Source organism: Homo sapiens, chromosome 9 (assembly GCF_000001405.40).
Source record: "Homo sapiens chromosome 9, GRCh38.p14 Primary Assembly".
Classification (NCBI taxonomy): Eukaryota; Metazoa; Chordata; class Mammalia; order Primates; family Hominidae; genus Homo; species Homo sapiens.
The window spans coordinates 113,572,074-113,585,203 of NC_000009.12; the positions used below are offsets into that span (position 1 = coordinate 113,572,074).

The 13,130-nt window shown below is 53.5% G+C and overlaps 1 protein-coding gene across 10 annotated transcripts in view, besides 6 other annotated features; it reads left to right on the top strand.

The window, feature by feature from the left end:
• The window catches only part of RGS3 (regulator of G protein signaling 3), a 153,009-nt gene that overhangs the window by 127,344 nt on the left and 12,535 nt on the right, over positions 1–13,130 (top strand). For 6 of the 10 annotated variants that reach the window (NM_144488.8, NM_001282923.2, NM_001394167.1 and 3 more), the window contains one exon: positions 11,377–12,354. The exons of 2 other annotated variants lie outside the window; for them this stretch is intronic. In NM_144488.8, coding sequence (NP_652759.4) covers positions 11,377–12,354 — 978 coding nt within the window. Of the gene's footprint in view, positions 1–8,854; positions 8,933–9,998; positions 10,170–11,376; positions 12,355–13,130 lie in introns of those variants that run through there. 2 more of the 10 variants (NM_001282922.2, NM_001351526.2) reach the window with 2 other exon arrangements.
• Positions 2,526–2,575: an enhancer, noted in NCBI's record as "active region_28848". NCBI's record gives its function as "activates an Ori minimal core promoter by ATAC-STARR-seq in GM12878 lymphoblastoid cells {active_cell/tissue: GM12878}" and the evidence as "EXISTENCE:reporter gene assay evidence [ECO:0000049][PMID:35858748]".
• Positions 7,048–7,137: an enhancer, noted in NCBI's record as "active region_28849". NCBI's record gives its function as "activates an Ori minimal core promoter by ATAC-STARR-seq in GM12878 lymphoblastoid cells {active_cell/tissue: GM12878}" and the evidence as "EXISTENCE:reporter gene assay evidence [ECO:0000049][PMID:35858748]".
• Positions 9,619–9,668: an enhancer, noted in NCBI's record as "active region_28850". NCBI's record gives its function as "activates an Ori minimal core promoter by ATAC-STARR-seq in GM12878 lymphoblastoid cells {active_cell/tissue: GM12878}" and the evidence as "EXISTENCE:reporter gene assay evidence [ECO:0000049][PMID:35858748]".
• Positions 9,829–9,998: an enhancer, noted in NCBI's record as "active region_28851". NCBI's record gives its function as "activates an Ori minimal core promoter by ATAC-STARR-seq in GM12878 lymphoblastoid cells {active_cell/tissue: GM12878}" and the evidence as "EXISTENCE:reporter gene assay evidence [ECO:0000049][PMID:35858748]".
• Positions 9,829–10,404: a biological region, named in NCBI's record as "H3K27ac-H3K4me1 hESC enhancer GRCh37_chr9:116344249-116344757".
• Positions 9,896–10,404: an enhancer, noted in NCBI's record as "H3K27ac-H3K4me1 hESC enhancer chr9:116344249-116344757 (GRCh37/hg19 assembly coordinates)". NCBI's record gives its function as "activates a minimal SCP1, AML or CMV promoter by ChIP-STARR-seq in primed H9 embryonic stem cells {active_cell/tissue: H9 hESC(primed)}" and the evidence as "EXISTENCE:reporter gene assay evidence [ECO:0000049][PMID:30033119]".

Here is a 13,130-nt window from a genome sequence, read left to right on the forward strand (position 1 = left end):
GACGTACAGTGTGAGCATAGGTTTAGAGGGGCCTGAGGGTAGAGTGTAGCAGACTGGCTGGAGGGAAAAGAGGAGAAACGGTGTGGTGGAGAGGTTGGCGGGGGCAGAACACACAGGGTTAGAGGATGGGACTTTATCCTAGAGGGATGAAGGCATTTTGAGCAGGAGACCAATATAGGCAAGTTGGTGCAGGGCCAAGGGAGATAAGAGAAAGTCTCATGACAGAGGGAGGCAGGAGGGTGGGTTTGGAGAAGACTGTAAATTCAGCCAAACCTAGCCCTGACATCACCCCCAAGCAGAGATAGGGTGTGCCTGCCTCAGGAGGCAGCGGTGAGGCTGAGTGTGCCTGAGGCTCGGGAGGGTGACCTTCGGCCACAGGGTTGTGGCTTAGTCTCATGTCCACATGTCCACTCCAGTGTCCTCGAGTGAAAAAGCCTCTTTTTTTTACTGGATGGGCACCCCACCACCACCCAGTGCCCCCAGCGCTGCAGGCCCTGAAGGAGGAGGGCAGTGGGGCAGACTGGGGCAGACAGATAAGGCAAGGGTGTGTATCTGGAAAGGGGGACCTTTCTGTTCCTCCTGCCCTTGATGCCCCCACAAGGAGACCTGGCTATGCCTTGGGCCCTGAACTCTGATCTTTCTAGGCTAGCTGAGATTCAGAACTGGACAGACATGCTGGGAAGAGCAAGACCCAGTGAGGGGAGTGATTTGGCCCAGGCCATGCAGTGAGCCAGACTGACCCAGCCTAGGGGCAGGCTGAGCACAGACTCATCTGCCTTCTCAGCTTCCAAGTTTCCCCCCCTGAAACCTGCAACTAACAGGACTCCTGTCCTAGGCTGCTGTAAGGGTCAGAATACGTCAAGTGCCCTGTCCCGGAATTGGATGCAGGAGAGGGAGCTGATGATGTCGATGATCGTCATGAGAGTAACAATTATGATTACAGAAATTGCAGATGCTTATTGAGCACTTACTAGGTGCCAGGCCCTATGCTAAGCCCTCCCCACAGAGCTGTGATGTGGGTACTCAGTATTCACATTGCCATTTTACAGATGAGGAAATCGAGCCTGAATAGGTTAAGCAGCCTGTGCAGGTACCTTGACGTAGGAGGTGGCAGAGCCAGGGTTTGAAGCTTGATTTGCCTATCTCCAAGCCCCAGTTGTTCATCAGCAATAGGCTTCCCTCCTTCCACCTCTGGCTTTCAGTCCTCCCTATTCTCAGAGCTGTTGCTTGGAGTAAAACCTTAGTTTTTGGGTTGGTCCCTGGTGCCCACTCATGAGAGAGTCAAGCTGTGGAGAGGAAGGCAAGGAGCAGAGGGGCACCACCATGGGCTACTGTGTGCCAGGCACTGCCTCCATATGCCCCGTAGCAGCCGTGAGGAAGCGGCACACTGGCTGTGAGGGAGGCGGCACATGGATAGGAATTGGGATTCACCCCCAGGCCCTCCTGCTTCCAAAGGCTGACCTCATGACTGCAGTGCTATTTGTGTCCTTCCCTGAGGTCATCCTGGCATGGCAGAGCTTCTTTGATTAACCTAGCAGAAAACATCACAGAGAAGCCACACGCTTCTAGCTCTCCCCACCTGGAAGGGGACCCTGGGAGGGAGAGGATTTGGGAGGGTCACTGGGTGTACAGAATTCTGCACTGCCCCTCCCAACACCAGGTGTCAGTCTCCTGCCCCTCAGTCTCCAACCATGTGGAGTCCGAGCGGGGCCCCTGCGTCTGGTATTGCTCTCCACTGCCTAGCACAGAGCCAGGCCCAGGTTTGTCCTCAGGAAGCATCCTTTGAAGGAAGGGAAGGAGGAAGTGAAGACGGCAGGAAAGGAGATCACAGAGGAGTAGAAAGAGCAGGGCTTTGGAGTCAGGCAGACCATGGTTTCAATTCTGACTCTTCCACTGACTTGCTTTTTGATCTTGTGTAAGTTACTTAATGTCTCTAACTCCTAGTTTTCTTATTAAAAATGATACTGATCTCATAGGATTGTTGGAAGTAGAGCCTAAAGTATAAAACAACTGTCACAGTGTGTGGCATGCAGTAGATGCTCAGTTAATGATCTCTCTCTCTCCCCTATCTTTGTCATCATTATCTGTTTTGAACACCTCTAGCTTCACCTTCCTTACCTCTGCAGCGCTAAGTAAACATTGCTTTCAGGGTAACGTTGGAATTCCTTAAAATATCCATGCTCCTGCCTCATCCAACCACCTCCACTTCCTTGAATGTTCCCTGCTGGCTCTGGCTCAGCCTGGAATATCCTGTCCCATCTTTTCCCCCCTATTACCTCCTCCCAGAGCCATCCTAGTTGTCCCTGCTGCCTCTACTTCCACAGCCTCCTAGCATGGTAGCAGGTGGGTGAGAGATGGACCTGGCATCTCCAAGGCAGAGAACATGGCTTGTTGCTGTTTGGCAGCAATAGCCAACACAGGCCCTGGCGCATGGCTGCAGCTCTGTAGGTATTTGCTGAGTAAGTCTTGGGGGAAATGGTGTGAATAAGCCAGACATGATCCTGATGAGCCAAACAGGACCTGCCCGGGGCCATGACAGCAGGGCAGGCTGGGTCTTGGCAGGGGAGCAGAGAGCCTTCTAGCCAGGGCATCCGAGGCAGATTGAACCAGTGCTCACAGGGATGGGCAGGAAGTAGACTTGAGGGATAGAGAGCTTAGGGAAATGAGAGGTCCCAGTACACACACACGGAGCAGGCAGAAAAGCAGGGTGCCGGGTGGGAAGGGGAGTGAGGATGGATCCCACAGGCAGACTGGTTCCTCAGCAGAGCCCCAGGGGGCCTGGAGTTCCCCTTCTCACAAGGCATCAGTCACCACTAGCTCAGGAAGAAGCTAGGAACCCCCCTGCTCTCAACTCTCAACTCCCTGCTTTTCAGAGAAGAGAGCTGGAGGAGTAGAAGGGGTGTTTGGGGTGGTGGGTGGGGACAAAGACTACGAGTCCACCCATGTTGAAGCAGTGGTGTCAGAAATGGAGGCGAGAGGAGAAGGGACCTGGTGAGGGGGTGACAGGGCAGCACCGTGCTGAAACCCAGACCCCGGGAGCCGCCTCCCCGCCCTGGGAGAAGCTGGGCATCCAGGCAGGTGGTGGTGGGTCTCCAGCAGGCTGCAAGCGGCATGTCCTTCTGGCTTGGTCAGGCGATAGCCAAGAGTAGGAAGGTTTTCTGAGGGGGCCCTCGTGTCTCCTCTTTCCTCAGGGATTCCCTTTCTGTGAGTGTTGGCTTTGTCCTGAGAGTCCCTGCGCGGGGGTGAGCTAACCTTCTGTGCCTCAGTATTGCTTTCTGTAGAGTGGGTGCACTCCCTGCTGTGGTGTGCCGCCCTCCTGAGCCTCTGACAGAGGAGCTTCAGTCTGTGGTCGAATTCTTCCTTTGCCCCTCTCTCCTCCTGCAGTGGGGCCTCTGTTTAGGGAACGTGAATGGGCAGCTGCCTCCAGGGAACTTGCCACCTCCCCCGTCCTGCTCCAAGGTCATGCCTCTTCTGCACAGGCTCCCCACTATAGAGAGGGTTCTATGTGTTGGAACTGGTCCTGGGCGAGGTTCTGGGCTGGATTTTAGTGCTGATTCTGTTGTATGACCTTGGCCTTATCACTTCCCTTCTCTGGGCCTCACGTAACAGACAGTCACCTTGCCTGTTACCTGACGCCACTCTCCAGAATTGTCTCGTCAGTCAGAAAGAAGTAAAAAGGCCTGGGCCTTACTCCTAGGGACTGTGATGCAGTAGGTCTTAGATTGGGTCCAGACAGGCATTTTTAAGATACTCCTCAGGTGATTCTAAAGTGTACTTCTCCGTTAAGAACCAATAGTCTAGGTCGGTGTTTTTCAAACTTTAATGTGCAAATGAATCTCCTGGGATCCTATTAAAGTGCAGGTTCCGATCCAGTGGGTGTGAATTGAGGTTTACGAATGTGTATTTTATGAGGTCAGGAGATCGAGACCATCCTGGCTAACATGGTGAAACCCCGTCTCTACTAAAAATACAAAAAATTAGCCGGGCGTGGTGGCAGGTGCCTGTAGTCCCAGCTACTTGGGGGGCTGAGGCAGGAGAATGGCGTGAACCCGGGAGGCGGAGCTTGCAATGAGCTGAGATCACGCCACTGCACTCCAGCCTGGGCGACAGAGCGAGACTCCATCTCAAAAAAAACAAAAACAAAAACAAAAAAATGAGTGTGTATTTTATATAAGCTCCTGGGTGATGCTGCTGCTGGCTCTTGGGCTGCACTTTGAGGCTAAGAGTCTAGATGGTCCTGTGAAGTTCACTGGATTGTTCTTTCTTTTTTTTTTTTTGAGACAGAGTCTTGCTCTGTCACCAGGCTGGAGTGCAGTGACGTGATCTTGGCTCACTGCAACCTCCGCCTCTGGGGTTCAAGCCATTCTCCTGCCTCAGCCTCCCGAGTAGCTAGGATTACAGGCGCCCACCACCACGTCCAGCTAATTTTTGTATTTTTGGTAGAGACGGGGTTTCACCATGTTGGCCAGTATGGTCTCGATCTCCTGACCTTGTGATCTGCCCTTCTTGGCCTCCCAAAGTGCTGGGATTACAGGCGTGAGCCACCGCACCCAGCGATTGTTCTTTCATTCATTTATTCATTCAAACACTTCAGGTGGGGAGTGGTCAGACGTGAGGCTACAGGGAGACAGAGCCCAGGGTCTTCCAGGGCTACAGAATTTGGACTTTATCTGAGAGGTATTGGGGAGCCAGCCACAGCAACGTTTTAAGCAGAGGAGTGACAAGTTGAGGTTTGCATGGAGGCAGCTCCCCTGACATAGCACAGAGAATGGCCAGTGGGGTCTGCACCGCCACTGTGAGCCCCACATCATCCTGGTGGGGGATGACAGTGGTCTAGAGGGAAGTGGCAGCAGTGGACATGGAGAGAGTAGAAACATTCTTTTTAAAAAAGATTAATCAACTTTTTAATTTTTTGATTTTTTACTTTTGAGACAGAGTCTCACTCTATTGCCCAGGCTGGAGTGCAGTGGTGCAATCTCGGCTCACTGCAACCTCCGCTTCCTGGATTCAAGCAATTCTCCTGCCTCAGACTCCCAAGTAGCTGGGATTACAGGTGCGCGCCATGTTGCCTGGCTAATTCTCGTATTTTTAGTAGAGACAGGGTTTTACCATATTGGCCAGGCTGGTCTCGAACTCCTGACCTGAGGTGATCCACCCGTCTTGACCTCCCAAAGTGCTGGGATTACAGGCTTGAGCCACCGTGCCTGGCCTCAACTTTTATTTTTTAGAAATTAGCTTTAGAAATTAGTGCAAAGTACAGAGAGTTCCAATATACTTTGTCCTACTTATTGCCAACCTCCCTAGTAAAAAGATCCTTGAAGTTGTATAAGTGATGATCAGGATTTGAGGATTGACCATGGGGGTGGTCACGAAGGAAAAGGAGAAAATGATGGCCAATTCCCTGGTTTGGGCAACTGGTGGTGGCTTCATTGATACAGGGACCATTAGAGGAGGAATGATGGACTTGCGGGGAGATCACACATTCAGTGTAGGGCTTGTAGAGTTGGGGGTACTGATGGGATATGCAGAAGGAGGTCTCCATCCATGTCCCTGGGATGCAGCCACACAGCTGTCCTCTGTGTCAGCAGCATGCTAAGGCTCTTCCTGGCCCGGGGCTTTGGCCTATGCTGCTTCCTCCCCTAGTGAGCCCCGCCCTGCCCCTTGAGCAGATTTCGGTCTCCAGCCATTCCACAGGGCGGCCTTCCCAACACTCCCCTGGACTCTCTCACAGCACCCGAGGGTTTTCCTTCACACTGCAGATCTTGGTTTCTGTTTATCCTGTGTTTATGGCAGTGATGACTTGGTCAATATCCCTCCTTCCTCTCTAGTTCGTAGGCTCCACAAGGACAAGGATCATGTCTTTCTTATTCCTTCCTTTATGCACAGAGCCTAGAACAGTGTCTGGATGCAGAACTATTCCATGAGGATTTGTTGAATACTTGCCTGTGGCATCTCAACTCAGGAAAGCGGTCAGGGCTGGCAGAGTGGACTGCGAGTCATCAGTGGCCAGATGGTGCAGATAGCGATTGTGGCCTGGGGAGTGGGTGGGTTCCCAAGGGAGTGGACAGGACTGTGATGAGAGGGGCCCTGCAGCAGGTCCTGATGGACAGGCAGACAGGCCCATGAGAGGGTGGAGAAGGGGTGAAATTCAGGGAGGGAGATGTTAAGGCCACGCTGTGCTGGAGTGACCATGGCTATCGTTTATTGAGTGCTCATGGGTGCCCTCATGGTGCTGAGCTCTGGATACTCATTAGCTCATTTATTCCTCTAACAACATTGTGAGGAGATTCTAGAAATCCTATGTTATGGCTAAGGAAACTGAGGCACAGAAAGGTTAAGCCAAAGGTCACCCAGCAAGTAAGTGTGAAGTTAGTATCTGGAGCTCCCCCTAATGTAAGTACCGCCTCCATCCTCCTGAATTTTGCCAAACCTGCTGTGTTGGAGACAGTGGAGGTAGAGGGGAGAGGAGTATGGCCTGGAGGGTCTCTGAGCTGGTGGCGGAGGAAGGACTGGGGGTGTCAGCCTCTGGGTGGTCAAGAGGCCAGACCTGGAGGAGCTGGGCTGACGCTGAGCCAGGAGAGCTAAGTGTTAGCTGAGCCATCAAGGTTCCTGGAAGCTAGCATTGAGTCAGGGACCTGAGGCTAGGGATCCAGAGCATGCCAAGCTTGAAGGAACAGCCCATCTTGAAAGCCTGGGGGTCCAAGGCAGGGCAGGAATTCTAACAGCCTCTCCCTTTCTCAAAGGACTTTACAGTTCACAGAGTGCCTTCCTGCCCTTTCTCACTTGGTCCCCTTAGGTCTCTGGCACAGGAAGCAGCAGGCATCCTCACCCACTTTCATGGCAGAGAAAACCAAGCTTGGAGTGGGGTAGCTTGGGATCACACAGCTAGCAAATGATGGAGTGAAGATTCCAGTCCAGGTCTTCTGGCTGCATGTCCAGTGCTCTGTCAGTAAAATCCTGGCTGTTAAGGGCCACCCTGAGACAGAGGCAAACCCCAGTTTACACCCCCCCAGTGCAGGAAGTGGTTTTCGAGGGCAGATGCAGAGCCCGGCATCCGTGGTGGCTGTGATGAATCATCGGAGTGAGAGCTGCAGGTTGTCCCTGGGTCAGCAAACCTGGCTGCTCAGTGAGTAGCTGTGTGATGTTGGACAAGTCACTTTCAGCAGCCCACCACTACCCTCAACCCAACATCCGGTGGGCATCTGGGGCCCAGGAGCCAAAGCTGGTATGAGTGTGAACTCTGGGTGTCATAGCTGCCATCCCTCCTTAGCCTATTCTGAGCTCTGGATTGGATTTGGGAGAGGATTTGATTAGGTCCTAAACAGTGACTCCATTTAGAGGGCCTGGTTCATTTCCTGTGTGCTTACAGCAGATGAGACATGGGCAGAATTAACCTGGTCCAGCCAAGCCAAAGAAGTGATGGATGGGAAAGACACAGACCCCCACCTTGGGAGGGTGGGGCAGTGGCTTCCAGCACTCTAGACCCAAGGCCCTGGGTGAGCAAGCTGGTCTTCCTGGGGCGCCCTGGCTGGATTCTTGTTACTTCAGCTGTTGCAACAGCTGTCTCACTGGGTCCCCAGCTGCCTGTACTTCCTCTATCAGAGCAGTCCCCATGCTCCTTCAAACTAGTTGTCTAACCTCTGTTTTTTCTACTTAACTGAGGGCAGAGATTGTGTCTGACTTGTTCCCTGCCGTCCTCCTAGTACCTACCTCAGTGCTTGGAGAATGCATGAATGTATGCGTGCCCCAGTCCTCCCTGCCATCCACACATCCTGCCCACATTCCCCAGAGCAGCTTTGACACAGCACAGCTCTGCCTGTGGCATTTCGTTGCTCACAGGGCAAATCCCATGCCCACCATGTGTTCTGCAACCTCCCCCTCATCTTTGCCTCCCCTCCTGCCCTAATTTTCTCCTACACTTGCCACCCTCCCACCCCTGGGTTTCTCGGGTTTCCTATAATTGCTCCGGAGCTCCCGTCAAACCACTTCCCACCCCAGCTCTCCCAAGAACAGGGGCCTTACCAAACCTGCACGCAGTCCCTGTTCATACAGACCTGCCTGGGAGCACAGAAAGAACCATGAGCTCTGGGCCCTGTTCGCCAGCATCTGCTGATGTGGGATGCACCCAGGTGCGGGGCCTCAGGCAGCACTCCAGGCTGTTCCTCCTCCTTCTACAGCCCTCTGAGGTCCCCAAACACTTGTGTGTAAGGCTCCAAGGAAACAGGGAGAGACCCTGGGCAGGAGATATGAGTTCTAATCCTGCATCAGCCTCTCATTCTTAGGTAATTCCTTTACCCTCTGGGACCCCAGGTTTCTTATCTCTAAAATAAGACCACTGATAGCTCCCATTGTATCAAAAGCTTTTCCAGGGCCAGGCACTGTGAGGAGACTCAAATAGTCCTGTGAGTCCAGTATGATATCACTGGGCTCAATTCCAGATGAGGAAACGGAGGCTCTGAGGTGTTGAGAGGCTTGGCCAGAGTTGCACAGCTAAAAAGTGGCCCCATTGGGATCAAAATCAGCCTGGCTCGGGTATCTGAGCACATAACCACTGGGCCCTCTGAGAACCCTTCCATCTTGGTTAGTTTCTCGGCTGATCTCTCTGGGTAGGTGCCCTCTGGGGGCAGTACCCCTGCCTGAGTGGCACTTCCCCTCCTGGCTTTGTTTGGTTTGGCCTCGATTTAGAACAGGGTTGGCAGAGGCAGGCTGACTTGCATTTCTGGTTTTGGGTTTGTTGCTGCACTTTCCCCAAGGGGTGGGCGGGCTCTGACTGACAGTCACCACTGGGACAGGCCTGGGCCCCACCCTCACCACCCAGGAAAGGGGAAATGCGGCCCGCTCCCCACTCAGTGCCACTCTGTGCCACTCCGTGCCAGGCCCTGAGGGCACCCGGTTGCTGCTTCCTTCCGTCTTTCCCCAAGGACTATCAGAGGCAGGTGGCTGGGCCAGGGGGTGGGTCGGGGGGAGGTCTGGCCATGTGGTAGGGTGATAGGACTGAGGGGCCCCAGGGAGCTGGCTGCAGGGCAGTTTGTTTCTCCTGATGGAGAATGCTCCCTGGTGGGTGGGGCGATGGGCTGGGGACTGGTTTGTTCATGGGGACAGAGATCAGAAGTGGGCTTGAGAAGAACAGGGCCAGAAGGCCTGGACTCTGGCCCCAGCCTAGCCCCTAATTTGTGCAGGGTGGCTTTGGGCAAGTCACTAAGTCACTGTCTAGACTGGGCCCTCAGCCTTCCTGTCTACCCAATGGAGGGTCTTTCTGTCCACCTGGGAACAGCCTGATAGGACTGAAGCACAGCCCTTAGTTTCCAGATGAGAATTCTGGACTGGAGGCCCTGACATTACAATTGCCAACACTGACTCTGGTGTTTGGCAAAATTTGGTGTATGTGGGAAACACGTGCCTCTGGTTGAGGTCCTTAACTTCAGAATTTCCCTCTAGATCAATGCTTTTTAAAGCACTAACTCCAACACCACCATCTTCTGTAGGAGCTTTCGAGCTTTCCAGCTTTTCCAGCATACGCTCCTGATCTGTTACTCAGGCATGCTGGTTATCCCATTTCATACGTGGACACCTTGAGGCCTAAAGGTTGGTGACTGGCTCTACCTGACACCTCTGTGTGATTCTAGGTTGCCCCTTGCTCCTCTCTGGGCCTCAGCCTTTCTGTCTATGCAGTGGGGATTTCGGATCGCTGTTGTTTCAGAGTCTGAGGCTATGAGGTCTGAGAGGGCCCTTGTGTGGAGTCACCTCTGAGCTGCAGGCAGGATTTCCAGGGCAAGAAGGCCACAGCATCAGCAGGCACCTGTCTTTGGCCTGTGAGCCATAGCCTAAGGCGTGCCCTTCCCGACCTTGGCCAGATCACGCTAGAGTCCTCCAAGGCCTCCCCTCCCTTGCCCAGCCACCTTCTCTGCTCTGCAGGGCTCCACTTTCACTTTCACACTCCCAGGCTGTGGCTCTTACCCGTGCCGAGCTTTCACATCCGCTCACATCTGTGCTCCCAGATGCCAGCGTGACCCCTGACACGTGTGTGCAGCAGCCTGCAGCTGCCCCAAGCCATGGCTGAACACTGACTCCCAGCTGTGGGGCTTCACCATTACAGACTCCCCAGGGCTTCAAAGACTTCTCAGCTTCGAGCATGGCTTTTGGCTGTCAGGGCAGCTGTACAATAGTGGGTAAGTCACCGGCCTTTGGGCTCAGTTTTCTCATCCATCAAATGGACATTAATGATTTCTACAATGAGAGCTCTTAACCCATGTTCTGGGGGTACTTACCCCTGAAGTTTTCTGCCAGTGTGCGCGTGTGCCCGCAGGTGCACACATTCCCAAGCATCTGTTCAGTTCCCGAGTATGGGTGAGGTCTTTCCCTTTCATTAGTTCTCAGCAGCTATGGCTTCTTGAAGACAGAACCTGGGCTCTAAATAAATAGTTCCAGCTCCGGCATTCCTGGTCCTTGACTGGGAGGGGCCCACCCCAGACTTGAGAACTGCCTCCCTGTGTGGTTGTGGCACCATGGACACTCCTGACTTTCTCGGGGCCCCAATCTTCTGGTGACATAGCTGCTATTCAGACTTTCATTAAGAGAAATGTTTTTCTCTTTGCACATGAAATCTACTGTCGAAACTCAGCAAAACCCCCTAGGATCCCGAGGGTTGTGTGTGAGGCAGGAGATGCTGTGTTTTTTGAGGAATCCCTGAGCTTCCTCCAAGCAGTTTAAAAATCCCTGGGTGGGTGATTCTTCAGGGAGGTTCCGTGTGTCTGCGACATCTGGTGAGTCCAGGTGTGGACAATATTTTAAAGTTCCGGTTTCATTCCAGTTTAATAGTTTCAAAAAGATACTTAAGCGTTCAGAGCACATTCTTGTTTGAATGACTCATTAGGATTTTTTAAACTTGAGTTCAGGTAGAAGACACCCTGGGCTGGGTTCAGTGACTGCCCTGGCTTGGTTCTGGTCCATAAGCAGAGACTGCCTGGTTCTCCTTTATCCCCAGAGGCAACTTTGACCCTGTTTCCTTTTCTGTAAAATGGGGACAGTGATGCTTCTTTTATAGGGTTGTCGGGAAGGCCACATAAGAGAGTGGGGTCAAGCTGGCCTGGCACCTGCCAAAGCAGGAGCTAGATAGATAGTGGTTATCTCTCCCTCTTCTCCTATAAATGACCAGCTGTGTTTTTGATGGAGCAGAAAGTTCAAGCAAGAAGACAGGGTGAGAATTGTTACCCAGCTAAGTCAAAGGGGCTTTGGGGGTTCCATCTGGCACCTCAGCTTTCAGACTGGGGGCCCGGGGTTCAGGCCACTGCCTGATTTCATGTCAGCTCATGCATGGTGTCTGGCATCTTGGAGCCTCCTCTTCTGAACTGTTCTTGTTTTCTTTTTGTTTCCCAGATGTTTGAGACGGAGGCAGATGAGAAGAGGGAGATGGCCTTGGAGGAAGGGAAGGGGCCTGGTGCCGAGGATTCCCCACCCAGCAAGGAGCCCTCTCCTGGCCAGGAGCTTCCTCCAGGACAAGACCTTCCACCCAACAAGGACTCCCCTTCTGGGCAGGAACCCGCTCCCAGCCAAGAACCACTGTCCAGCAAAGACTCAGCTACCTCTGAAGGATCCCCTCCAGGCCCAGATGCTCCGCCCAGCAAGGATGTGCCACCATGCCAGGAACCCCCTCCAGCCCAAGACCTCTCACCCTGCCAGGACCTACCTGCTGGTCAAGAACCCCTGCCTCACCAGGACCCTCTACTCACCAAAGACCTCCCTGCCATCCAGGAATCCCCCACCCGGGACCTTCCACCCTGTCAAGATCTGCCTCCTAGCCAGGTCTCCCTGCCAGCCAAGGCCCTTACTGAGGACACCATGAGCTCCGGGGACCTACTAGCAGCTACTGGGGACCCACCTGCGGCCCCCAGGCCAGCCTTCGTGATCCCTGAGGTCCGGCTGGATAGCACCTACAGCCAGAAGGCAGGGGCAGAGCAGGGCTGCTCGGGAGATGAGGAGGATGCAGAAGAGGCCGAGGAGGTGGAGGAGGGGGAGGAAGGGGAGGAGGACGAGGATGAGGACACCAGCGATGACAACTACGGAGAGCGCAGTGAGGCCAAGCGCAGCAGCATGATCGAGACGGGCCAGGGGGCTGAGGGTGGCCTCTCACTGCGTGTGCAGAACTCGCTGCGGCGCCGGACGCACAGCGAGGGCAGCCTGCTGCAGGAGCCCCGAGGGCCCTGCTTTGCCTCCGACACCACCTTGCACTGCTCAGACGGTGAGGGCGCCGCCTCCACCTGGGGCATGCCTTCGCCCAGCACCCTCAAGAAAGAGCTGGGCCGCAATGGTGGCTCCATGCACCACCTTTCCCTCTTCTTCACAGGACACAGGAAGGTGAGAAAGCTAAAGGGGGAGGGAGAAGGATACATGCAATGTGGGGAGGGCTGGCCCAGGGGCTGCAGGGAATGAGAAGTCACCATGTTCCACCCCCACTATCCTGGCAGCCTCCCAGCGAACTTTCCACCTGTTGGACAGAAGATAAAACTGAGGCCCAATGGGACCAAGAAGGCAGAGCATGGACTTAAACACATGACTTTAGGATTCCAGATGCTGTGTTCTTATAGCTCCACTGGTCCCCACAGAAAGCAGAGCAGGTGTAGCTTAGCCCAGGCCATTGTGTATTTGGATTTAAAAGATCTGAGATAGTAGCTGGAGAAATAGAGTTACAGCCTAGCCAGACTAGAAATCCATCAGCCAGTCACAATGACAACACACATTTATTCCGTGTCCACATTATCCTAAGCAGTTTACATTAACTCATTAACTCTCACAACAGCCCTTTGAAGTAGATAGTATTTTTGTGCCCATTTTACAGCAGAGGAAACCGAGGCAAAGAGAGGTTATCTAACTTGCTCCAGGTTACACAGTGTATCAGTGTCTGAACTAGAATTAGAATCTGGTTCCAGGGCCAGTGCTCTTAACCAACCACCACACCGTTTGCCTCTCGTGAATATTTATATGTAGATGAATAAGTATTTATGGATTTCCTGCTGTGTACCAGGCCCTGCGCTCTGCAACATGGCAGGAGCCACAGAAGTGTGTGAGGCTGGTCTCAACCTGAGAGAAATAAGTTAACTGTGTGAGCCTTGAAAGTGGCCTAACAGTGAACA